Source organism: Homo sapiens, chromosome 11 (assembly GCF_000001405.40).
Source record: "Homo sapiens chromosome 11, GRCh38.p14 Primary Assembly".
Taxonomy (NCBI): Eukaryota; Metazoa; Chordata; class Mammalia; order Primates; family Hominidae; genus Homo; species Homo sapiens.
Window position 1 is genome coordinate 92682911 of NC_000011.10, and position 25686 is coordinate 92708596.

Sequence of the window (25686 nt, forward strand, 5' to 3'; positions counted from 1 at the left end):
CTACTAAAAATACAAAAATTAGCCAGGCATGGTGGTGCATGCCTCTCATCCCAGCTACTTGGGAGGCCAAGGCAGGAGAATTGCTTGAACCCAGGAGGCGGAGGTTGCAGTGAGCTGAGATCATGCCATTGTACTCCAGCCTGGGTGACACAGCAAGACTCTAAAAAAAAAAAAAAGTGGTATCTGACTGGCACTCTCCAGCATTTCCTGCCTGTTTTATTGTGAGGGTTATTTACTTGCTTTCTAATGTGGTCTTGGTCCCTTTATTCTGAGGATGACAGGAATGGAGTGGGGAATTTTCCCATTGTTGCCCACAATGCTGTTTCATAATGTATGAAGACACTTCCACACTGAAAGTTAAGAGAGCTGACTGATTGCATGCCCCTAAAGGAAAGGATATTTCTTTTCTTCCATTTCCAACAATATGTAAAACAAAATTCTAGGGTTTCCCCTAAGGTCTCCTGAGGTAACTTGGGGTTGGGACCAGGGTTCTTCTTCCCTGTATGATTTTCCTTTCCCATCAGAGTATGGTAAAAGTACTCCTTTTCTAACTGGAAAACTTCTACTCATCCCAACCCAAGAGATCCCTTCCTGGGAAGCCTTTTCTTGCACCCCCAGCTGTTGTTAAGGCTTCACCCCTCTGTCCCCCATGTTAACTTTTTGCATAATTTCACCCGATCCTCTAACCACATGTCTCTATTTATTCAATTCCCATTTCCCCTTATTCTCAGCATCCGTTGAAAGCCAACCACCCCAGTGCCTAGCCAGTGGTAGGGCTGGCATTGTAGTACATATGATATTTTAAAACCTAAGCCCAAAATGGCCTATGAGACTATGGAATGCAGCTTCAGTTCGTTAATACAGAAACCTTCCAACAACTTTCTTTTTCCTGGAAAACATGAAATACATTAATATAATTTCAAACCTTAGTTGAACTAGCTAGTCCCAGATTTTCTAGTGCCAAGGCATTAATGTGATTCAAAAGAATTAAAATCACAGCAAAATTAAATAATCTTGTTGAGTGGATGCTAAACCCGGCACGAGTTCCATGACATGTAGCATCGACATGTACAAGTACTAATTATCCACTAATTACAACCACAGTAGCATTGAGCTGGTTTTCCCTAAGAATGAAGGACTGACACAGAGCTGTGAATGGTTTAAAAATCCACTCTCAGGCTCAATGCACAGCCATTTGTTCAGAAGATACTGAATTTTTCAGAGTGCGAACAAAGAAGATGAAAATGTCTTTTAATCTGGGTGGCATGTTCATTTGACTAGTTGGTTTTTAAATGGGTACCTCTTGTGTACCTACCCATTACAAACCCTTAGTCCCAAAGAAAGACTGCTAAATGGCTGAAAATGTAGAAGAAACATTTTGCACCTATTCTCCTGGGACCATTGCTGAACTGCATGGGTGGAATGGAGATCAATCTTGGGATGAAAAGTAATGGTGAAAGGAAAGAAAGTCCCGGGACCCTGGACATGAGTGCCCAGCAGACCCACTGCCAGTTGCAGCTCTTAATTTTAAATTTGCCATGGGGTGTGCACATTTCAGGTCTGCCACCACTGTTCTTGTTTCTGAAACAGGAGGAAAATCTGAACAACCTTCTTCCACTTCTACCAAGGGAACCAGTAAAGCCAAGCAAATACTGTAATTACAGTATACCAGTTCAGGGCACAAATTTAGGAGTCGAACAGATCTAGCTACTTAGTGATGTAACACTCAACAAATGATATGTAGTTATATTTATCCTGTGGATAACTATGGAATAAACAAGCTAGATATAGATGCTTATGGCAGTCTTTGGTGCTTCCTGCCTCTCCCCACACCCCCATACTAGCCCCTATCCCATAGAGCCGGTATTTGCAGCTATCTGATTCTTCCTGACTCTTTCAATGATTCTCTCATTTGATTTACATTTCTTTTTCTTTTCTGAACAAGAAACTAAAATGCCACCTAGCTCATCTTTTCTATAAGACATGGATGATATATGCCTTTAGCACATTTCTTGCTAGATTCTTAGTAGAGTTTTGGAAGGATTAACTCATCAAACTCCAGCCAGGGAGTGTGATCCTACAGGGCGCTTTGTCTTATCCTCCATCTTGATATGTATCGTGGGGTGCTTGGTGGACCTACAGAAATCAGAGACTGACTATTTTTTGTAACCTCTCTTTTCCTTTTTTAAAATGTTTTTTGAGAAATGAAACATGGGCTGAGCCCTCTCTGATAGGTTATCAATCCCTACTTACACATGACAGATTCTTGTTTAAATAACATAATTTAGTTAAACAAAAAGTAAAAACAAAAGAGGAATAAAATACATATCAAAAAGAATCAAGATAAACTCATTAGCACTGGCAATCTGCCATTTCCCTCCATTAACCTCAATTAACCAAACAGACTGCAGACTCTGACATGACACCAAAAAACATGGCTTTTTATGAACCTGTAACATTTTATGTTAAAAACCCATAGCAATAATCATCGCAGCACATAATTCGTTCTGAATTTGGAAACTTTTCCCAAAAAGTCTTTACAAGCCATAATATAAATGCTAAATGAATATTCCCATATGTATAGACCATTACCTGCTTTGGATGGAAGCATGTGTGTGTGTGCACACGCGTACATACACATTTCATTATTATATATTTATTTGATTGTGTTTACTATATATTATATATTTAATTATTTATTATTATTATTATAGTTTATTTAGTCAATAGACCAATATTTATTGATGCCCTTCATATGCCAGGCCCTGTGCTAAGCACAAAAGATACAATGAGTAGCCTGGGCTCTTAAAAGGTATTCCTTTAATGAACATTAAGTGAATAAAAATATGGTTGCCCTGGAGAAGTCACAGTCTATTGACAGAAAAAAACATGTAAACAGAATACAAAATGGTATAAAGGAATTGTTTATGAAGTCCCCTGCTAAAGAGCAGAGGGAAAATACAAGGCTTCTTCCCTGACTTATTCAGCATTTCTTCCAAGGAGTTATAAAGCAGTTATAAATAATACTAATCTCTCCTTTGTTTCCACTTAAGTTTATATGGGAAAAATATCATATGTTACCCCTAGTGATGAAGAGATTATTTGCTCCTCCATAAAATAATTGCTGTGTTACAGAGGAAGAAACTGAGGTGCACATTTTTAAAGACTTGCCCAAAGTTGTATTGGTAAATGATTAAGCACAAATTGTATCATTCTTATGAGAGATGGTACTTCCTCCCTGAGAACAGAAAGACAGTGAAATGCCACTGATTCAGACTCTGAGGAGCACGTTGTAGCAGCTGAAAATGTGGATTTCTAGAATATTTCAGGAAACACATATTTACTGCTCTCAAATAAACACATAAGGTTAATGCTAATATTAGCATAGTGTTGCCAAACAAAAGACCTGCTTGGACAGATTCTAATGAATAGTTACATAGGCTGTTTGCAATTACAACATCAAAATGGTGGTTGTTAAAATTGAAGTGCTCTGCAAATGGTTTATCTTGAGTACAATAAATATTCCCCTGAGACCTCTTCATCCTGTTAATTTACCTAGGTAGTGCAAAGGTAAACTCCAACCAGCTTTGGAACTGTTATATATTCTCAGACAGGTGAAATGAAAACTAATGGGGTTTTACAATGTAAATATAAATTTAAGACAAAAGGGCAAGTTTGAATTAAGTGAAAATTAACTGGAAAATATGTGGGTTTTTTTAAAAAAAAGCATTATCAGTCTTCTGACAGCATTCAAAGCTTTCCATACGAGTGATATTTTTTCCAGGTTTTTAAAATTGAGTTTCAAAACATCACTCCTACCTAAGGGGTCTTGTATAAATTATAGAGCAAAGATGATCTTAAAGGATTGCATGCCTACAAAGCACACATGCATTTTCAAGACTTTGCACATTCTCTGAGTAATTTGCACTTTATCCATCCTCCTGATTTTATCTGTCAGATGAAAACATGTAGAAACAAATCATTTACAGTGACATGATTTCTAAGGGGAGTGCAGTGGCTGTTTTCACACCTCAAGTGTGTCAGGAATTACAGAACTTTAGAGTGTTCATCTGAACAAAAAGAAACTTCAACTTTTAGTTTCCTGGTTATTAAATTTTCAGACATTTTGGGGGTTGAACAATCCAGATACAATAAGGTTTTCCTTTTTAATATAGGCTAGAAATAGCACCCCAGGGCTATTAGGGTTTTTAATAAAAATAAAATATAATACACTGCTTTTTGTAGATACTGTGCCTGCTTTTTAAACAGCATCTGAGTACAAGCCACTGTGCCAAGCACCTCAGCTTTATTGTTTCTAACCGAGCCTCTGAGGAACCTAGTATTGTCCCCATTTCAGAGATGACAAGACTGCGATCAGAGAAGTTATGTAAGTTTCCTTGTCCATACAGCTAAAAAATAGCAGAGCCAGGACTTAGACCCAAGTTTACCGTTTTTGTTAAGCTTCTGTCTCGTTAATCTTAAATGGAGATTGGACATTTTGACTTTTCACAACTTCTCTGTCAGATTCTTATTAAACATTAAAGGCCCAGTACAAACACAGCTCATTCCTTTATGTTTTCTGATTGTACAATTCAGCATTAATCTTTCCTTCTTAGGGACACTCAAAGTTGTCTAGGGTGTGTGTTAGATCTTGCCTTGTACTGTAGTGATTCTTATATGTGTCTACCTCTCTCACTGGATTGTTAGTTTGATGAAGGAAAATATAGAGACTTATTGTTGTATCTTTTTATCTTTTGCCTTGTGTCCAAATGTGTTTTTGTGGGGAAGAGAAAGCATCTGTATGGAGGTGGTGTTCCACCTCTGCTAGGGAGATCTTGGTGGCCAGATGGGGCTAGGCAGTGTGTAACGCTATAGGCGGTAAAAGAAAGTATGCCTGAATGCAGAAGTGAAATTGTAGCTGATGGAAGCCAGTATAGTATGGGAAGGCAGGGCTTCCTGTCTTCCTTGCTAGGCATGCCTAGCATGCCTCAGATCTAAAGTCAAAACAGGCTGGGCAAGGTGACTCACACGTAGAATCCCAGCACTTTGGGAGGCTGAGGCCAGAGGCTCACCTTGAGGCCAGGAATTTGAGACCAGGAATTAGAGACCACATCTCTACCAAAAAAAAAAAAAAATTTTTTTAACTAGCTGGGGATGATGGTGCACCGGTAGTCTCAGCTACTTGGGAGGCTGAGTGAGGAGTATTGCCTGAGCCCAGGAATTTCAGCCTGTAGAGCTATGATCATGCCACTGCACTCAGCCTGGATGACAGAGCGAGACCCTGTCTTTAAATATTAATTAATTAATTAATAAGTAAAGTCAAAACAAACATGGTAACCACATAGTTTAGTCCTTTGCTGGAAGGATTCGGATCAGAACGTTGTGGAATTCAGATGATGACATACGGGAGGCTGTTCCTGGTGCCTCTATTTTATTGTCCTGTAAATTATTTTATTTCATAAAGTTGAGTGTTGTTCATGTTAGAAAAACTAGATATTTAGATAAGCCAATAAAAGTAATTACTATAACCCCATCATCCAGAAGATAACAACTAGATATACAGTCATTCTCACCCCTAGCTGAACATTAGAATCACCTAGGAGAATTCTTTAAAAATACCTATGCCTAGGCTCCACCACATACCAAATAATTCATAATCTCTGGGTGTGGGACCCTGACGTGAGTATTTTTTAAAACTCCCCAGGTGATTCCAGGGCACAGCCAAGTTTGAAAACCAACCATGGTCTAGAGCCAGTCATCTTAAAATTCCTGTGCATACATTATCTAGGTCTGGGGGGAGCCTACAAGTCTGCATTTCTAACCAGCTCCCAAGTAGCACTCATGATGCTAATGCATGCTATGCTTCAAGTAGCAAGAGTATTATATATTATCCTCTCAAAAAAATGTAACCATGCATGGATAAAGGGATTTTTTAAATCAGTAAGTCTTTGAACAGGTTACTTATACTGTAAGCCTCAATTTCCTTATCTGTCAGATGACAGAGTGAGTATTAAATGTTTTAGAACTTTTGCTGCCCAAATATTTAGGTGGGAAGGAAGCAAAGTTAAACCATTGAACACATATGATACTCCACACACTGTTCTTAGAGCTGATAATAAGAATAGTATTATTTGGGCATGTAGTATGTGCCAGGAACCATGCTAAGCATTTTTAATTATTTAATTTAGTAAGCTTCATTTTATAGATGAGGAAGCTAAGTAACCTGCCCAAGGACATGCAGCTGCCTAGAGGTAGAACTGGGATGGGAAATCAGGCAGTCTGATGCCAGAGCCTGAGTACTGCTAGCCAGTATACTACAATGCTTCCTGGACTAGATAATCTCTAGGATTCATCTATATAGTGGAATTTAGATTGCCAGTCACTTAGGCTTCTTTATTTTGATTATCCAATATTCAGAATTATGAAAAAAATCTTGGCAGAAAGGGAAAGGGGGAGAAGTGCGCCATATTGCACATCTAAGCATGCACATCAGTGGTATGTAAATAGCACCTAAAGATGGCATCATTTCATACGACATCCTTAGTATTGGTTCGCCATCTGTGGCTTAATTTCTCTGAAGAAATCCAATATGGCATTCAAGGTTTAACTTAATAGCCTAGAGACTTCTTCAGGTGCATAAGTGCATCCTCATCTAGGCAGAATCGGAAGGCAGAACCGGAGGGCTCTGTGCAGTTGGGAGGAAGAACCATGAAGACTGGTGATGAGGAGAGGAATTGATGGAAGAACAGATGGGAGTGGGAAGTATCCAGGTATTCTGGTAAAATTAGGCATGTACACAGCATCTCTGGTTCTAACTGTATGAATGTGTGCACATGCATGCATGCATGTGTGCATGAGGATGGCAAGACCACTGGGTACAGGAGAGGATTATACAGAGGAGGAGGACTTTGGAAGTATTGTCTATCATACAAGATCATCTTCACTACTCCCTCCCTTGTTGGCCCCACCTTACCCTTCACTCTGATGACAAGTGGACTTGACCCAAATGCTTCTAATCAATCTAGTGTAGCAGTAGAGTTAGGAAGCAGGGCTTGCCTGAACCTTAGAACTCTCCGTCCAGGCTGTGGGCAACTCCATCTGTCAACTAGGCCTGAAGGGAAGTTGCCAGGTCTGTGCCAGCCTCTACAGTTTTCCTCTGCAGGATGGCTTGTTCCCTTTGCTACCTGTAGCGGCTACAGAATCCTGAATCCAAAGGGAAAATATTTCTGGCAGAAAAATACTGCCTGGGATTTCCCTGCTGCTAAGGCAGAATTCAGAAATGCCATCCATTGGCTTGCAAAGAAAGAAATGAAATGTATCTGTTACAGAAAACCAACAGCCATAAACCATGTTTGACCCACAGCATCTTCATACTTTGGTTTAAAATGTACCCTCACTTTTACAGTTTTAAAGCTTCTATTAGCATCTCAGAAATCTCTATTTATGAAGAGAAGTCCAACTTGCAGGCTTAAGCTCCATGGGTGATTTCCCCTTCAACTTTTCTTAAGAAAATTTAATAGCAGCACCATGTGCTCAATTGAGCAATTCCAAGTCTTTACAAACCTGATGAAACAACCCTTACTTAAGAAGCATATCTCGTGGGGGTAGTTTCCAGAATCCTTTTTTTAACCCCCTTATAACTGATGTTGTAGCTCTTGTATATATATTTTTTTCTTTCTGGTATTTTTTCTTTTCAAATAAATATCATCCAGTCTGAAAATACATATTACTTAGTTGTTTATTTTTTAAGGAAATGTGATACAACTCTTCTCTCCAACTTTAATTTTTCCTCTACTCCTGAAAGTTGAATTTACTATGCATGCATTTCATTTCTCTCCAAATTAAGTGCACAGCCTGATGTCCATATGTAAATACTGCAGGGAATATTTTAATGCTTCTTAATGGGCTGAAGGGAAAGAGGTGGAAATAGGGGTTCTAGAAGTCAGAATCTTATAGAAGACATCATAAATGTGGGAATAACCAGTGTGTGTATTTTCCCTATTTAAAAGCACGTACTTAACTGATATTTTTACTTTCCTCCTTTTGAGAAATATGCATAGGATGTTTAATTTCATGTCAATTCTGTGGATAAATAAAAACTATAACACAGCATGTATTGTTCCCGATTGGGTGACCCACCCAGGTCCTGCACTGCCGGGCACAGAACCATTGAGAAGAAAGTGTGCTCAGGGAATAAAGCAGGGAAGGAAGAAGACTAATGATCTTCTTGTAATATTCCTTATATTACTGTACATTCTTCACACTGAAAAGATGCATTACGACTTTCCTAGATGAAGAAACTGAGGCCTAGAGAAGGAATATGATTTCCTGTGATCTTATGACCAGTTATTGACAGAGCCGATTCTGGTACCCAGGTCTCCTGGCCCCTAGACAGATGACTTTGCCAATGCTCCACATCTTCTGCTAGGGAGATAAAAAGGAAACACTGAAGAAGCTCCAGAGTTAGTTTTATTTTTGGTTTACGAGGTTTCTTTTTTTTTAAAGAAAGAGTCCTCTCTCTCTCACCCAGGCTGTAGTGCAGTGACGTAATCATAGCTCAGTGTAACCTCAAACTCCTGGGCTCAAGCCATCCTCCCACTTCAGCCTCCCAAGTAGCTGGAACTATAGGTGCCTGTCTAATTATTATTATTAAAGAGATAGGGTCTTACCATGTTACCCAGGCTGGTCTCATACTCCTGGCCTCAAGCAATCCTCCTGCCTTGGCCTCTCAAAGCATTGGGATTATAGGCATAAGACACCACACCTGGCCAAGAGTTGCTGGGTTTGAATTGTGGTATAGTCATAAATCACAAATTAACCTCGGGCAAGTTTATTTAACTGTTTCCTCCTACAAATGGAGTCAAAATAATTCCTATTTCTCTGAAATTTCAGAGTTAGAGGAAAAATTAAAGTTGTGGTAAAGACATGTATTAGGTCTGTTTTTTAAAAAAGCAACCATGTAATGTATATTCTTAGACTATATGATATCTGAACTATTGTGAGATAAAATGAGATTATGTATATGAACTGTTTAATATGGTGCCTGGCACATATTCAGTACTCAATAAATATTGGATACAACTATATTATTATTATCCTATTTTTCTCCCTAAATTAGGTAGAAATCAGGATGGGAGAGAACAATGGAATGGCCACAAATCCTTTGTGCATAAGATTAAAGATTAAAAATATTTAATCAGCTGCTGAAAAAAATTTTTAAAAGGCTATCAGGAATTGCTCTGATGACCTCCAAAAAACAGGAAAACATTAAAGTTATTCAAAGGATGGAGGAGAGCATTCAGACAGCTTTAACACCCATGCATTGGAACCATTATGGCCACTCTGTATAATAAAATAACATTGAGAGTTCTGGAAGACTACATCCACATCACCTTCATTCAGATAAATTTTGCTTGGTACCTACAATGTGCCAGTTTCTGTGTTAAACACCAGGAATACAACATGAATAAGATTTATTCACCACCCTTTTGCTTGTGCCCTATTAGGGAAGACTGACTGTTTGGAAAATAATTAGAGCAAAATGTTGTGTGCTGCAAAAGTAGTATTTTATTCAAAAAATTGAGGAGGCATTGATCTAAGTTGTGGGCTTAGTTGTGTTTAAAGACCCAAAGCCTTTGCCTTTTGCAGCTGTAGTCTAGATGGAGATTCAGATGATAAATGAATTAATTACATGCAACATGCCAGGTAAGGAAAGGTCCGAGAGGGCTTCACATAGAAAGTAACAACTCAACTGTCTGAAAGGATGGTGAAGGGTTTACCAGATAGCTGGGTACAGACATGAAGAAGTGAGAAGCATAGGGGATGGGATGTGAAGAACACAGAGGAAAGAATTAATTGTCGCTCACAAAGCTGATAATTCTAGTTGTATTTTTAAAATACCAAACCCAGCTTCCAACAGTCTTGGAGAATTATGCTGAAACAGCTAAGACCTGCATTTCTTCAAGTAGCACTTAAAGAAAATGTGAATGTCATGGCAGCAGATTACACAGCTGCGACCCAGGACACCCACAGGCAGAAAAATCAGGGAAAAGAAGTCATCCTTACAAGTATCACTTCTCTGACCATAACTACTTAGAACATTTTGAATTCTGTTTGGAACAGGCAGCCACATTTTCATGCTCAGGCTGTTTCTCAGAGAGAGGTCATTAGATTCTTCCATCTCCATAACAAAAAATCAAAAGCAGCCATTTTAAAAGTAATTGCACAGTTCCAGCCATATGTCTCCCCCACCTCCTTATTGAGTATCATTCACTTAGGACTGGCATACTTCCCCTCCTAAATTGGAGGTTTGCATATGTAATTATATCAAATGATGTGTTTGTTTATATCTCCAAACCACATTCAAAAGCTTGCCTATGATTTATCTTTGAAATTCAGTTTCATCATGTCAGTCCCCAATTTACTGTGCCCAGTGGGTCTACAGTTACATGTGTAATGCACACACCTCTCTCGTATAGATTACAGAATGGGGTTGCCTTCCCCAGTGATGAGTCAGAGTGGTTGAGGAGGGAGGTTGCTCTGTTTTGTCTTGTTCTCTATTCTCTGTATTTTTTCTTGTTCTCTATTGTCTTGTTGTCTTATTCTCTATTTGTTCCAAATGCATTCAGCTACAACAAAGTTATTATAAATGAAGAGGTAGCACTGGTCATTTTAACTAATTCCTCTGGGCCAGGAAGGATGGCTCACTGCATTCTTTTCTGACTGTAAAAAATGGCAGTGCTGCTGAGGTGCCGTAGCTCATCGTAAGTAGGTACTTTGAGCAGGAGGAAAGCTTTTACACCTTAGTGGTTTAGCTGACCCTGGCTTGATAAAAAGATTTATTTTATCAAGATTTTGATAACAAGATGTATTTATTTATTTTCAACTGCAAATAACTACCAGTTGTTGCTGTAACCGTAAAATTTCAATGTTTCCATGTTCCAGATTCCCATGGACAAGCCCAATCAGCTCTATTCATTTCAACCCTTCTTCATGCCTGAGGCCTAAACTAACTAACCTATTCATTCATTCATTCATTCATGTAAATATTTTTAAGAGCCTACCTTTTCCAAACATAAAAGACTTATTAAAACCTTAAAGTCAGGGTTTATGATTTTCTAGTGATTTTTCTAACAGCTTTATTAGCATATAATTTACATGCAATAAACTTCACCTATTCAAAGGATACAATTTAATTGTTTTCAGAATATTTACAGAATTATGCAACCATCACCATAGTCTGTAATTTTAGAACATTTTCATCCCTTCAAAAAGAAACCTTGTACCCATTAGCAGACACTCCCTATCCCCATACCACCTCATCTGATTTCCTACCGATTTCCACTTTTAAGTTACATTTTATTTCTTGCCTTTTATTTCATATCTATGAAAATAAAGGTGGTAGAAGCCAAGAGAACTGTAACCTGCAGAGGCTTTCCTGTGTCTTTTTACTCCAGGAACAGAAACTGCTTGTCTTCCTCACAGCTCCAAGTTCACTGTTGTGTATGTTGTTTCAGACTTTTCAGGAAGCCTGTCTCTCTCTGTTGGCTGATCAATATGTGAGAAACACATCCAGGTGAAGGTATGAAGGTGAAGGGGACCCTGCAGCTCTCCCAGTTACATGTAGGCATTGTGAAAACAAGTGAATGTCCTAAAGAATCGCCCTGAGAATCATCAGGAGAGGAAGCTGACCTCTTCCCTGTGCACAGCCACACCACAATGGGCTGTGGCCATGTGACCCTGGGCAAGGAGCACCTGTGATGATAGAGAGTCCCCAGGGGAACAGAGGGCAAAGGGGTCCTGGTCTTTTGTGGCCGGAAGAGCAGCAGGGTGAAGGCCAACAGCCCTTTGACTCATTTATAGCCTCAATATAACAAGCATGTCTCATTCCTATTGTGGACTCTAATAGAGGAGCCCACACACAGGAGAGGGGAGGCTCCATGAAAGCTTCCCCTGCCTTGTGAGAAGAAAGTTACTCCCCACTTTGAAAGAGCCTCTGTGACATATGACCTTGTCCAATAGAATGGCCCAAAAATGAAGGTGTCAGATATGTGTGTTAGACATCCACTGGGGTGACCACACAGACCCTCTGTCAATGTGACTCAGAGCGATGTGCTGCCCTTTATTCCTCTCCTCACTTCCCCACAGCAGGCACTCACAGGCTATCTCCATCACCCCACCCCACACCCACACCCACTGAGCCCAATGCTCTGATCTAGATGCTAGAGCAGCTCAGTGTATTTCATTCTTGGGCCTGTCTGGTCAGAAGAAGTAAGGTCAATAAAAAGTCACAGTGAGATTCAGTGAAAGATAGTGGAATTGGATAGTACTTTACTCTTAGAATCAGAGGACCGTCACAGGCCTCACCCCAAGAGATTCTGATACAGTAAATGAGGGATGGAGCAGGGAGACAAAAATCCATGTTTTTTACGTTTCCCTGGTGATTCCGATGGTCAGCTAAGGAAGGAAAGTTACTCATCCTCCTTGACCTTCTTGGTGGCAGTCTTTCCTCCTTAATCTCAGACAGTAGCTCTTTACATCCAAGAGTGCCTAGTATTGCTCATTCACACAGAGGAACTCTGCAAACTTTATGAGTACACATGTCACACAAGCCTTTCCCACCCACAAATACACCCTCCACACACAAAACAATACCCTCCTAAACAAACACATTCCAAGTCTGTAGCAAAACTGAAGAATAGAATACAGCAGATCTCTTCCAGAGCAACTTTTCATTAACTAAGCATTAATGAGTTCCTATTCTTTGTTCTAGGTGAGGAACTAGGTAGGCATCAGAGTTTCCGAATCAAAAGACAGGCCCATCCCATGAAGTAACTCTGTCAATTTGTCTAGCGAGGAAATACTGACATGTGAACAAAGGATTCTAGTATAAGGCAGAGATCAATAATGGAGAGCACTGGTTATATGAGGGCAGAGCAGATGGCCACCTAACCCTGTTAAACAGGGTCAGCAAAGGCTAACATCTGAGCTAAACTTAAAAAATCTAGCTCAGTGTAGTAACGTACAGCTTGGGTGAATATAGTTAATAATAGTGTATTGTACATTTCAAAATTGCTAATAAATTTCAAATGTCCTCACCACAAAAAAATGATAAGTATTGTAGGTGATGGATATGTTAATTCACTTGATTTAATTATTTCACATGGTATGCTTGAATCATAAGCTCATTTTTTACTATATATATATATACCATGTGTATATATATATATACCTACAACTTGTCAGTTTACAATGAAAAAGATAAAGAAAAAACTCTGTGGGGCACATTCCAGAATGAATTCATGGAAAGTTAGATCATTTATACACTGGAAACACAGGTTTTCCTCCTGTGGGCAGTGTGGAGGTGGAGAGGAGGGGCTAGCTTGTAAACAGCCATGTTACTCTGAGTGGGATATTATTCTGAAGGCCGTGGGGAGCCATTTAATTTCCTGTGGTATCTTCTTGGCTTTCTCTAAAATCTGTGTGCTCCCACCCACCACTTCTGTATAAGACAGAAGCTTGAGGTCAAGGGCTCTTTCACAGCCCCTGGAAATACCTTTCCACATTGCACCTACCTCACCAGCACTGGGATCACGCTTTTCATATGATTTTTCTCTGTTCCTCCATTGTCCATCAGCATATACCAGGAAAACAGCCCACACCATATTCTCTTTAGGGACATTGTGGAATCAAGAAATGGAACATAAATTTGACCTCCTAATTGCCATTTGACAAAAGGAATAATAAAACCTGCAAAAGACAAATTGGTGCAATAAGCTGAGAGGCCTTGAAGGTTTTGTCTTCTCATTTTCTTTTCTTTGTCTTTATACTCAAAGGGGTGATTCACTTATGAGAAACACCATTGGAAGAAAAGGTAGATATTTTTCATGTGGAACTTGTTTTGTATAAAGATTCAAACACATAAAACAAAATGATAAAATTACAGTATGAAATCTTTTGTGTGTAAGTTATTAAATATGAAATAATTATGTGTACAAGTAGCGATTACAACATTCTTTGTCAAGTATAACAAAAATTATATGTGCATATAAAAGTTAAGTAAGAAAGTACTGTTTCATAGTCTGAATCTAATCAGCATAAACAACCTATTAATTGTTCAGGAACTCTAAAATCTTTAATGAGGTTTCTACTGTAGAATTTCAGTCATATGCAAATGAATCATTGGAATTCTTCATTATCTTAAAAACAGAAGTTTTTTTAGTGATTTTTTACATCCCCAAAGTGGGATGTACCCCAACTGTGGTAGACAGGCTGAAACAATTTTTCAGGTTTTCTTTGTAAATTTTACTTTCTTTTAAGAATAATTCTTGAGACCATTCTGATTGTCATGGGGGATTGGAAAGTTACAGTTCCATACCACTTTTGCTTTTCCTTTAACTGGACTTGTTTCCCCACACTCAGTAAGCTGTTTGCCCCAGATATTTAAAAGTCAAATATTCTCATTTCTACACAGGTCTGATTACAACAACTTCAAGGAAATTGGATCGAGAACAGCAGGCAGAACATTTTCTGGAGGTAAGCGCATAGAGGGAACTGAAATTCATTAAAACTGACTTTCACTAAACTTCTTTAACCTTCAACATAAACTACACCTTCAATATATTTGAACAGTGGATATCAAAGTGAAGATATTTCTCTTGGGCTGCTATGTTCTGAATTTAGGGATTTCTAGTGTGTTCTTCCCAACATGCTCCTGTGTGCTGAGCCAGGGTGGTAGGGCAGCCTTTGCCTTTTGCTGAAGGCAATGGTGTATCACCGTCTCTGCCTTGACTTCAGGCCCTCGTGTCAATAATCAGAAAAGAAAGTTCAGGAGCAGAGCCCTGTGAGCCACGGGGGCCACAGACGTAAAAAGAGAAAGAGCGTCAGTGTACCATTTATGAGGAAGCTTTGCTTTCCTCTTTTCTTTTCGTGGGGAGAGAGTTGAGAAAAAGAAAGCTGCTGGTTGAGTCACTGCCAGAGATGACTATTGCTGAAACCATAAAATGGACTCCTTTAATTCATTAAGACAGAAACTACAGCAAAATCAACTCTAAAAGTGTTATTTCTGGAGAGAGAATAAAAAGCTATGAGATGAGAAAATAAATATGAAAGAGCTTTGCAGCACATTCTTTCTTTAAGCATCGAGTGTCTTTATTGGGAAGCTTGAAGCCTGGGTAGTTTGTATGACACCGTGATTTAATTGTGACTGTGTGATATGAAACAGATGACGATGCTTAGAACTCAAGGCTCTGTTAAGGTTTTATAATGTGTCTACGCTTCTAAAATAATCTTTTAGTTCCTAAGAATCACTTTCTGGAATCCACTACCCCTCCTAACACATACACAAACACACATACACACACACACACGTGCACATGCACACAAACACACCTTTCAAATCTGATGATAGAATCTCTTCTGGTCTACTCCTTTAAATTAGCTCACCAGTCATGATTTATTTAAAGAACACCGGACTAGGAATCAGGCTACCTGGGTCTTGAAGCTGCCCTGCTGTGAATAGCTTGAAGCTATTTAATTGCCTTGAACCTTAGTTTCCCCTACTATGAAATTTGGCAAACAATTACAATCCTTTATACCTCAAAAGATCACTCTTAGGATCAAACCTTCTGTTTTGTATCAACGTATTTTTAAAACTCTTAAAGCATTGGATATAATAAAGGATTATTATTATTATTATCATCATCATACAATACTATGATAATCCTTTTAAAACATTACTATCATCTCATAAAGATAAAAGGCTCCAGGCTGCCAAAAAAAATAATTATAGTAATTCTTTTTTCAAAATCCTTTTAACAGGATGCAGTACCTACCTGGTCCAGAACTTAAATACATTTGCCAGAAAAATAAGACCTTATATTATATTCATGGGCTTCTTTCCTTTCCAGAAGACAGTCCAGGACACCTGGAAAGGCTGTGTTCTTAGATAGTTGAACCCATTACTTCCCAGAAGGAAGCAGGAAGGGTGTCTCATTATCTGAGGAGTCTGGCTGAGATCACTTATGGCCCAGTCCCTTGCAAGGTCGTCTCTGTCATCAGGAGGTTTGTGGTGCAGTGTGACTGTCACAGGACGGATCTATAGCAGAGCAAAGAGGAAGAGTATTTTCCAAGCATTTGAATTCACTCCCCAAAGAACCCTGAATGGATTCACATCCTCTACAGACTTACATAAATACTGAGTAATGTTTTAGTACCTTGGACTAACACAGATTGGGGTCTGGAATATCATTGATTAGTACAAGTTGAGTCTCCACTTATCCAAAATGCTTGGGAAGGGGTGGGAAGTATGAAGAGAAGTTAATAAATTAGTACAAACATATGGTGTGATACAAGACATAAGACTCAGTATTAAATAGATCATTAGGGTGACTAGAGTTTATAATAATGTATTGCATATTTCAAAATAGCTAGAAGAGAAGAATTAGAATGGTTCTAGCATAAAGAAGTAACAAATGTTTAAGATGATAGATAACCTAAGTACACTGATTTGACCTTTACAAGTACATGAATGTATTAAATTATCACATGTACCTTGAAACTATGTACATCTATTATGCATTGTTATAAAAAAATTTTTTAAATGCTTGGGATTCGAAATGTTTAGTATTTTGGAATATTTTCGGTATTCTTAGTTGAGCATCCCTAATTCAAAAATTCAAAATTCAAAATGTTCCATTCAACATTTCCTTCGAGCATCATGTTGGCACTCAAGAAGTTTCAGATTTTTGAGCATTTTGGAATTTGGGTTTTCACATTAGGGATATTCAACTTGTATCTGGTATCATCTGCAGAGGGAAGTAGGACAGCATAGCAATTAACAACTTTATAGGGTTGTTGGGAGATTAAACTATAAAATACATGTAAAACATCCAGTCCAGTGGTGCTAAGTAGGTGCTTAGTAAAGTGTGGTTATCATTGTTGATTGTTGTGGTTTTAAGTATTATCACATGATGACATAATATCAGAAGCTTTCTAAAGATTTAACAGCACCTCCCCACTCCAGGAAAGGTAGAAGCTCCAGACCACTGAAATGCAGAAGGAGCCCCAGGTAGCAAGCCCTGGACTCACCTGGTGTACCAGGGACTGCCCTAAGTCCTGGGGACACAAAGTGAGCAGGAAGGATGGGGAAGCACATGGAAATGAATAAATGCTGTAACTTCAGAAAGAAGCTCTCTGAAGCCACTAAAAGAAAGTTCCATGATAGTGCCTGAAAGCGGGGGGTGACAGGCAACATTCAGTAGACTAGTAGACTTGTTTGACATGGCATTTGATGACATGATGCCAAGACTCTGTTCAAGAAATAGAATCAAGACCACTGTGATGAAGAGTGTAAAGGCAGAGTGGGGATGGGAGCGGAGGTTATAGGAAAGCAGATTGGAAAGGCAAACAGAGGGGACTATGGTAAGGATTTTGAATTTTTCCTGAGTGCAGTGGAAAGCCTTTAAGCAGGGGTGACATGATGTGACTGCCATCATAAGTGATGGCGGGCTGCCCTGCTGGTCAGAGACCGGCTTGGGGTGGGGGCTGAGGGTGACCAGTGGCAGCAGGGAAATGTGGAAAGCTTCTATAGAGATCCAGGTGAGAGATGAGGGTGGTTTGAATGAGGGTAAGGGCAGTGGATCAAGTAGGTCTAACACAAATCCTATCATGATTTCAGCTAGCAACAGCACACTGGCTTTTCTGTGATCTTTGGAGTGAAGATTTTTAAACCACAGGTAATCAGAATCATACCAACTTGCCCTCCAGCAACCTCGTTGCCCTATCCAGCTTCCAAGCTCGCCACACACACCATTTCATTTAATAAATCTGCTAAGGCTTTCAGAAACCAGTTCAATATCAATCTCTCTCTCCCTTTGTCCTCTCTCTCTTTTTCTCTCTCTTATGCACACTGTCTCACTCTCACTCCCTAAAATTGTACAATTTTGGCCACATTTTTTCTTCTATATGACATTGCTGCAGGAGTTTGAACATTTCTTTTTTTTCCCTAAATAGACCATAGAAGGAACATTACTTTAACTTAGTCCTGCAGAAAATAAGTGAAATGGTATCATTGAGAATGTAGAATAGAGTTGTCTGTTATACACAAAATTTTGAAACTGCTGATATATTTTGTGACTTGTAAGGCCTAGGTGTGGGTAATTAACCTCCTGGAGAGTGTTTAATTGCCGAGATAACCTTATGCTCCTCTTAAACTCATATTAACCTTCTGGCTCTATTTCATATCTGTCCTTCCCAATAAAATAAAATTGACTCTTCTTGAAAGGACCCATTTAGAAGCTGACCTGGCAGGTACACTGCTGAATAGATAACCAGGAGGACATTAATGATTTCTTGGTAGTTTGCTATCCCCATGGTAGAAAGCACTTTAGTTGTATACTGCTGACACTCCATCTATACATTGGTTTAAGATATTTAGCTTGATGGTGTATGGGCTGCAAGGGTTTTTCAGTCTGTAGAGCATTTGCCTAAAATCTGTTACTATAAAAGGAGGGTTGTCATTATCAGAATCCAAAGACTTGCTAAAGCAACAAAAGCAGCAAAGAACTGTAGGCAAATTCACAAGTACAGCTTATACTTCTTCAGTGAATTCTAAGTGTTAACTCTTGCCTGGTTTGGAAGTCTGTTATGTGAAAATATTGGCCTGATCTTCTCTTCCTACCATAAAATGCAAAAATGTAGAATTTTTAGCTCATTTGTTCAAAGTCGTATACCTTCCTTGATACCCAGTTATGATTATAGTGGAGATAGAAGACTAATTCCAGCATACAGATGCCAAGAGTTGATAATGGACACGTAAATGAAACAGTGAATTAACGTTTTAGTTTTTTGGTTGTGACTTTAGCTCTGATTACTTCATTATCAGAGAAGGCAGCTGTGAAACAGGAAATAAATGCACTAACTCTGTCTTATTATATAATCACTTGTATGGATTGTGTTTTTTTGTTGTTTTGGGTGGGTGTTTTTGGTTTTCTTTCCTTGTTTTTTACCTATGAGATGTTTAAGCTCCCTGTGGGCATGCAACTTGATTTATCAAGACAGTGAATTAAGGTAGTGTGGGAAAGCTCAGATGTTAAATTCAGGTGTGCCTGTGATTGTATTTTGGTACTGTTCACAGAGCTTAGATGGGCTATTGAACCTCTCTGGATCCCCTTTCTCTCATCTGTGAAGTGGGGATAACAATTCCTACCATAGGGTTGGTATAAAGAGTAGATTAAATGACAGGTGAAGCATGCTCAGGACGCTGTCTGTTAGACAGTACATGTTCCATGAATGGTAGCCATGGTCAGCATGGAATGTCTTAGTCATCTCTGTATACAAGCATCTGTTTGGCACTCAGGAAACAAGGGACGCTTAATAAGTGTGTGAATGAATGCTTACATTAAGAGACGTTATTTCACTCCTCAATGAGACCTTGAAGGGGAGAGAATTAACATGCAAGACAGAGCATGGATGTAGAGACAGGAAGAAGGCATGCTCGGCTTCTTTTCGTCTGCATGAGCGTTGCCACGTTAAATTAACTTTGATCCTCCTTTTCTTCATCTGGAAAATGGGGTTAATAAACTTGCCTCACAGATAAACTGCATGGAAGGCCTGGCACACAGAGATGCTGGTAACCTATTGCTTGCCCTTTCCCTCTTTTCCATCTACTTCCTCCTCCCCTTGTCCTCCACAAACACACTGCCAGTTCCCTTTCTTTTCCTGGACTGGCTCCAGCAGTTTGAAAAGCTTATAGCACTTCGATTATTCTTGAAAGATACATCTACTTAAATAATCCTATAGTCCTGGCTTAATTATGTGTGAATCTTTATCTTGCTTGCTGAAGAGTATTATTTGCCTCCCTTTTGATCTTGAAATGCTTCTGTGTTCAGGGCTGGATGGTTCTGATAAAAGTCTCCCAAAGAGAACACAGAGAGTGTTTTTTATTTGCAAATCAAAAAAAAATTAAAAAGAAGATGACAAGGCCCAGTAACCAGTGTAAAGACAGTGGATGAGCAATTATGTCATATGTATGCATAGAATTTGGAACAGCCCAGAGAATGTGGTTAAATGTAATAGTGAAGTCAGTATGAATAACAGATTACAGAGGAATAGACTAGATCCATAGGAATGTATATTATTTAGTATCTGTCTTTTTTAACAAACTCATCCATTGTCCTCTGTAACATACAACTCATGTGAATAATTTTTCTTCCTGTCTGAAGTTCTCATCCCTTTTTATAGTTTTATTTTCTGAGGGAAAAAAATATTGTTCTTTATTAAGTTTTTATAACATTTTCTCTTGCCTTAGGATGCAAATTGATTTCTTTGCTGAGAGCACACCCTTAACAGCTTCTTCCTTTGGTAAAGCATCTGCTAAGCATCTGCTTTTAAAATGATGATAATTTCTGGTAGAGAAGAACTGCAGGCTCATTTCAACCCATTAAACAGTCCACAGTTTCATAATTTAACTTCAAGAAAAATGGAAGTTTCTCTTCTTAGGCATCTCTTTCTGCCACCTTCAGAGAACTCTACAGGAAGTATCCATGGGCCCTCAAAAAATGGCATGTCTGTGCATAAAAATAGCAGCATGGAGCAGGCATCAGCGTCAGAAGGAGAGTTGATGACACCTTCTGTGCTCCAGAGCTCCCAGGAGGCACCACACACAATTAATGCCCTGTGACACAGCTGCTGACCTCTTTCCACTCATTCCTTCCATTCTCTCATTTGTTCACATTCTTATTCTTATTGTATCAACCTCGATAGTTAATAGATATGCACTCTTTCTGTTTTTACTTCCTTTCATAAAAGCTTTATCGAATGACTGTTCAAGGCCTGGCATTGGGCCAAGTACTAAGGTTTTCTTCTTAGAATTAGTGTGGTTTTCCCACTGGACATTTTTTCCTTTGACTTTCACAGTAAGGTCTCCTAGAGTACTAAACTGCAGATCAAGTAGGGAGCTACTTTCATTAGCTGCTGTCTTGGCATCAAGAAACTGTTATTAATTCGTATATTCCTAACTGTGCTCTCACGTTATATAGATACAGAAACTGAGACCTAGAAAAGAGGAGAGTGATCCAAGGTCATACAACTACTTCATGGCAGTACCCAGGATAGGTCTTTCTCTCTTTATGGAACAAATATGGCTACCAATATCCATCAGCTTATTGAAATGTGGCAAATTGAATCATCTTTTCTCGCTCTCATTTTGTAATAATGGATTGACCCAGGTGTCAAGTTAACCCAGCCTCAAGGATCAGTCTCTATGCATCTGAAGAGCAGGTTTTCTCTCATACTCTGGTTGTCCATCCACCACCCCCTCAGCTAATCCTCAGAGCCCGATACTCTGGCCTGCCCCATCCACCCAGCTCTGGACAAGGCTCACTCTGCTGCTGGGCTGTGCCCTGAGCTCCAAGACCAAGCCCATCTGAGAGGATGCTGTGTCCACATGGTGGGTACCAGCTTGGACTCAGCAGAGGAGTAACTGCAAAGCACGTATTATGGGCTGAATTGTGCACCACCTCCCACCACCAAAATCCATGTGTTAAAATCCTAACCTCCAGTAACTCAGAATGTGACTGGATTTGGAAAGAAGAGTCTTTAAAGAGGTCATTAAATGAAAATGAGGTCACTGGGAAGAGCCCTAATCCAATATGGCTGACTAATGTCCTTATAAGAAGAGGAAATTTGGACACAGATATGTACAGAGGGAAGGCCATTTGAAGAGAGAGGGAAAAGACAGCTGTCTGTACAAGCCAAGGAGAGAGGTGTTGTAAGAAACCAAGCCCTGTCATTACCTTCTCAGATTCCTAGCCTCCAGAACTGTGAAAAAACAAATTTCTGTCATTTCAGGCACTTTAGTCTATGTTCCTCGGTTATGCAGCCCTAGCAGACCAGTAAGCAGCCAGATTTCATCAACTGGCCTGTCCCTGCCCCTCCTCACACCACCACCTCACAAGGCTACACAAATGCATCAGACTTTATTAGGGACTGCAGCAACTACAATACAGTAGAAAAACCTCTGTCTAAATTTGAGGGTTCCCGTGCTTCATGCTCCATATTCCAAGGGAGAATTATCCTCCAAGTTAAAACTCTCCACAGAAGGCCCTCTTGTGGCATACATGGGTTCCTAACTCCTTCCCTGCCTTCAAGTTTCTAGCTTCCTGAGTGCCTCCTTCCTCCATTCTTCTCAGTGAGTGTTGCCAGCGTACCTTTCTCAGAAATCCCAGTGTTTTACCCACAAGAATGCTTCTTGCCCAGGAACAAACCCCTCCTAAGCAGATTTTTTAAAATTCATGTCATTCTTAAATAATCCCCCCAAAAGGTTTTAGTAGGCTAGTTAGGGATGGCCATTGACATTCCAAGTCTAGCTAAACAAGGAGTGGTGATGGTGGTGGTGTGATGATGGTGGTGATGGTGGTGGTGTGATGGTGGTGGTGATGATGGTAGTGTGATGGTGTTGGTGATGGTGTTGGTGGTGGTGGTGGTGATGGTGGTGGTGGTGATGGTGGTAGTGGTGGTGGTGGTGATGGTGGTGGTGTGATGGTGGTGTGATGGTGGTGGTGGTGTGATAGTGGTGTGATGGTGGTGGTGATGGTGGTGGTGTGATAGTGGTGTTGGTGGTGGTGTGATGGTGTGATGGTGGTGGTGTGATGGTGGTGGTGGTGGTGATGGTGGTGGTGTGATGTGGTGGTGTGATGTGGTGGTGGTGGTGTGATGGTGGTGTGTGATGGTGGTTGGTGGTGTGATGGTGGTGTGATGGTGTAGTGATCGTGGTGGTGTGATGGTGGTGTGATCGTGGTGGTGGTGGTGGTGGTGTGATGGTGTGATGGTGGTGGGTGATGGTGCTGTGATGGTGTGATGGTGGTGGTGATGGTGGTGGTGTGATGGTGTTGGTGTTGGTGGTGGTGTGATGGTGGTGGTGATGGTGGTGGTGTGATGGTGGTAGTGATGGTGGTGGTGTGATGGTGGTGGTGGTGGTGTGATGGTGGTGGTGATGGTGGTGGTTTGATGGTGGTGGTGTGATGGTGGTGATTGTGGTGTGGTGGTTGTGATGGTGATGGTAGTGGCAGTGATGGTGATGGTGGTGGTGGTGGTGGAGGAGATGACAGTTGTGACTATAGTGGTGGCAGTGGTGATGATGGAGATGAGGGTGGTAGTGACGACTGTGATGGTGGAGATGGTGTTAATGGTGGTGGTGGTAGTAATGGTGGCATGCTTATGAGATGGGAGTGAGGTTTACTATTCCTAATTTTACAGAACTGTCCAGGTTAGTATGGGCCCTTAAGAATAATCCTTTCTGAGATCTTCCCACCAGTATAAATTGCAGATGTACCACTTAAATTTCCCTATTATCTGAAGAGTAAATATTGAATCTGATGCAGAAAAACAAACCTTTCAGAGCAAATATTAATTCTCAGAGCTAGTACATTCAAAACAGAGATTACAAGATGCCATGGGTCTGGGTAGGTCAGTAATTCAGAGAAGCAGCATGTGTGGGAGCGGTGGGGATGTGGACGGGGAGGAACAGTGGATTCTACCTGCCCCTTCTCCTAAAAAGGCACTGCCAGCAGCAGGTGTGGAAGCAGGTAGGCCCAGTATCAGCAGGAAGTCTTAATTTGTTTCCCAAAAAAAAAATCACATTTACATTCCACATCTCTCTATATTACATGTTGACAACTCCATCATTTTTTTTAAAACACTGTCAGCCAACGAACCCCTGTTTTGCAACAGTTGATAGAAAGGAAGACTTCTTACTTGCCTCATAATTTGTAATCCTCTCAGAATGAAGTAAGTAATTCACATATTTTGTGGGATGTAATTAGTTTCTTATCTTCCCTTCACCTCATGTCTTTAAAAATGTACCCATCTTTTAAAATGTGCATATAAAAATAAATAAGAAATGAGCCTATGGCTGAGTCTTAAGAGACTCTGTTGACATTGGAAATTACCACATATGAAGACTTGGTTGGGATCTCAGCTGAACATTGTCCGCACAGGCATTTCTATCTGAGCCAAGGAACGGAAGGGTGCTGTGGATCTTTGGGGTACCTCAAGTTGTGTGAGCATGTCATCTGGCAGTAGCTCTTCACTTTTTAACTTTGCTTTTCTGTGCTCCTGGTTGACCTACTCATTAATAAGCTGCAGGCAAACACTTATATATATTGGGAGAGTTGTCTGGAATAAGTCTTTGATTCCATAAATAGCCACCTCTAATTTACCTGTTTGTGAAAGGTTGTGTTTATTTTGTTTCTCCTTAAACCTGAACACTAATTAGTAGAGCAGCGGTAGATGAAACCAGTTCACTTGGATCTAGGGAGGTCCTTCCACCCAGTGGCTCCGCCTGGCAATGGAAATGAGCCAGTTTTGACTGCTCTGCTCACCCATGGTGCACAGGCAGATAATTGCTTTGGGCAGGTCACAGCTTGTTGAGCTGTGCACACAGGCCTTAGGGAGCTGAGACTCTGCTTTGTTTTCACTTGTGGATGGGAACGTGGTGCTATGTTGCTGCTTCCTTTTAGTCTTCTGAGCCAAGCAGCTGTAATAGCCTCAACCTCTGGCTGAGTTCTGGGGGTTGGTGGGAGGGAGCCTATTACCCTGAAGGGTTGGTATTGCACAACTGGCTTCTACCTTCTTGGAGAAGAGGTTAGGAGTTTCCTGCATGGCTCTGAACAATCATGAGAACTCCTGACTGTGAATCCCCCATCCTAGGAGCCCAGACTGGCTTCTTCCCCGTAGTGCAATGATGGTAAATTGACTCTCTGCCCTTTACTTCCATAGCTCCTTTTCCTTCTTTCCTTTGTGTTGCTTTCCTAGTTTATTTTATGACACACACTCTCTGAGCTACAGAATGATCTGTCCAGTCTAATTTTATCGAGGCCTTCAGAAACCACTGAAGCTCATGCCTAATGTCAGATGTGTTTGACCCAGTTGAGGACTTCATATCTGTCTGTGGGAAAATTTAAAATGTAATGACAGCAAGTTTAAAATATGGAATTCAACTCAAGTGCTTCTATTAATAATCAGGAAAAACTACTTTGGCATGCTTCCTGCCTGCAGCAGACAGCTTTGTTCAAATGAGCTGTTGTTTCAAGACCTTTCAAGTGCCTTGCTTTTGTGGCAAATTGGGAGCTACCAACCTCATCTATTTTGTGGCAATACTGGTTTACTGAAATACCAAGAGAGTTGTCAGCGTAAGGATGTAGAACATTGTCATGAAAATAAGTCAGGAGAGCCCTGCACGTCAGAGCCAAGGAAAATAGTTTAGAATCTTGGAACAATACCAGCCTTCAAAATGGGGAAAACCTATAATAAGTTTGGTTGTTTAATTTTTGGGAGTGTAGAACTGTAAGGATGTTACACAATTATTCAATCAAACAGTGAAAAAAATCTCTTATAAGACACTGTCCTAATTGTGATCATCCCTTTACATTTATATCAAACTAATATATTATAAATGTAGATAGAGATGGTTAATGCACAAGATATGGAGACAGACATAGTAACTCACTAGCTGTGTGACCTACAGCCAAATTACTTAATCTAAACCTCCGTCTCTTTACCTATAAAATTGGGACAATAATAATACCTTTATAAGATTTGGTGAGGATATTTACACTGCACATGCATTGCACATGTTAAGTGTTTAATATGTTAGCTATTATAATTAGAAGCTTTAAAATTTTCCCT

The 25686-nt window shown here is 40.0% G+C and overlaps 1 protein-coding gene across 11 annotated transcripts in view; it reads left to right on the forward strand.

Annotated features, from left to right (window-relative positions):
- The window catches only part of FAT3 (FAT atypical cadherin 3), a 671656-nt gene that overhangs the window by 458093 nt on the left and 187877 nt on the right, over positions 1–25686 (forward strand). For all 11 annotated transcript variants that reach the window (XM_017017179.3, XM_017017178.3, XM_017017180.2 and 8 more), the window contains one exon: positions 14474–14535. In XM_017017179.3, coding sequence (XP_016872668.1) covers positions 14474–14535 — 62 coding nt within the window. The remainder of the gene's footprint in view (positions 1–14473; positions 14536–25686) is intronic.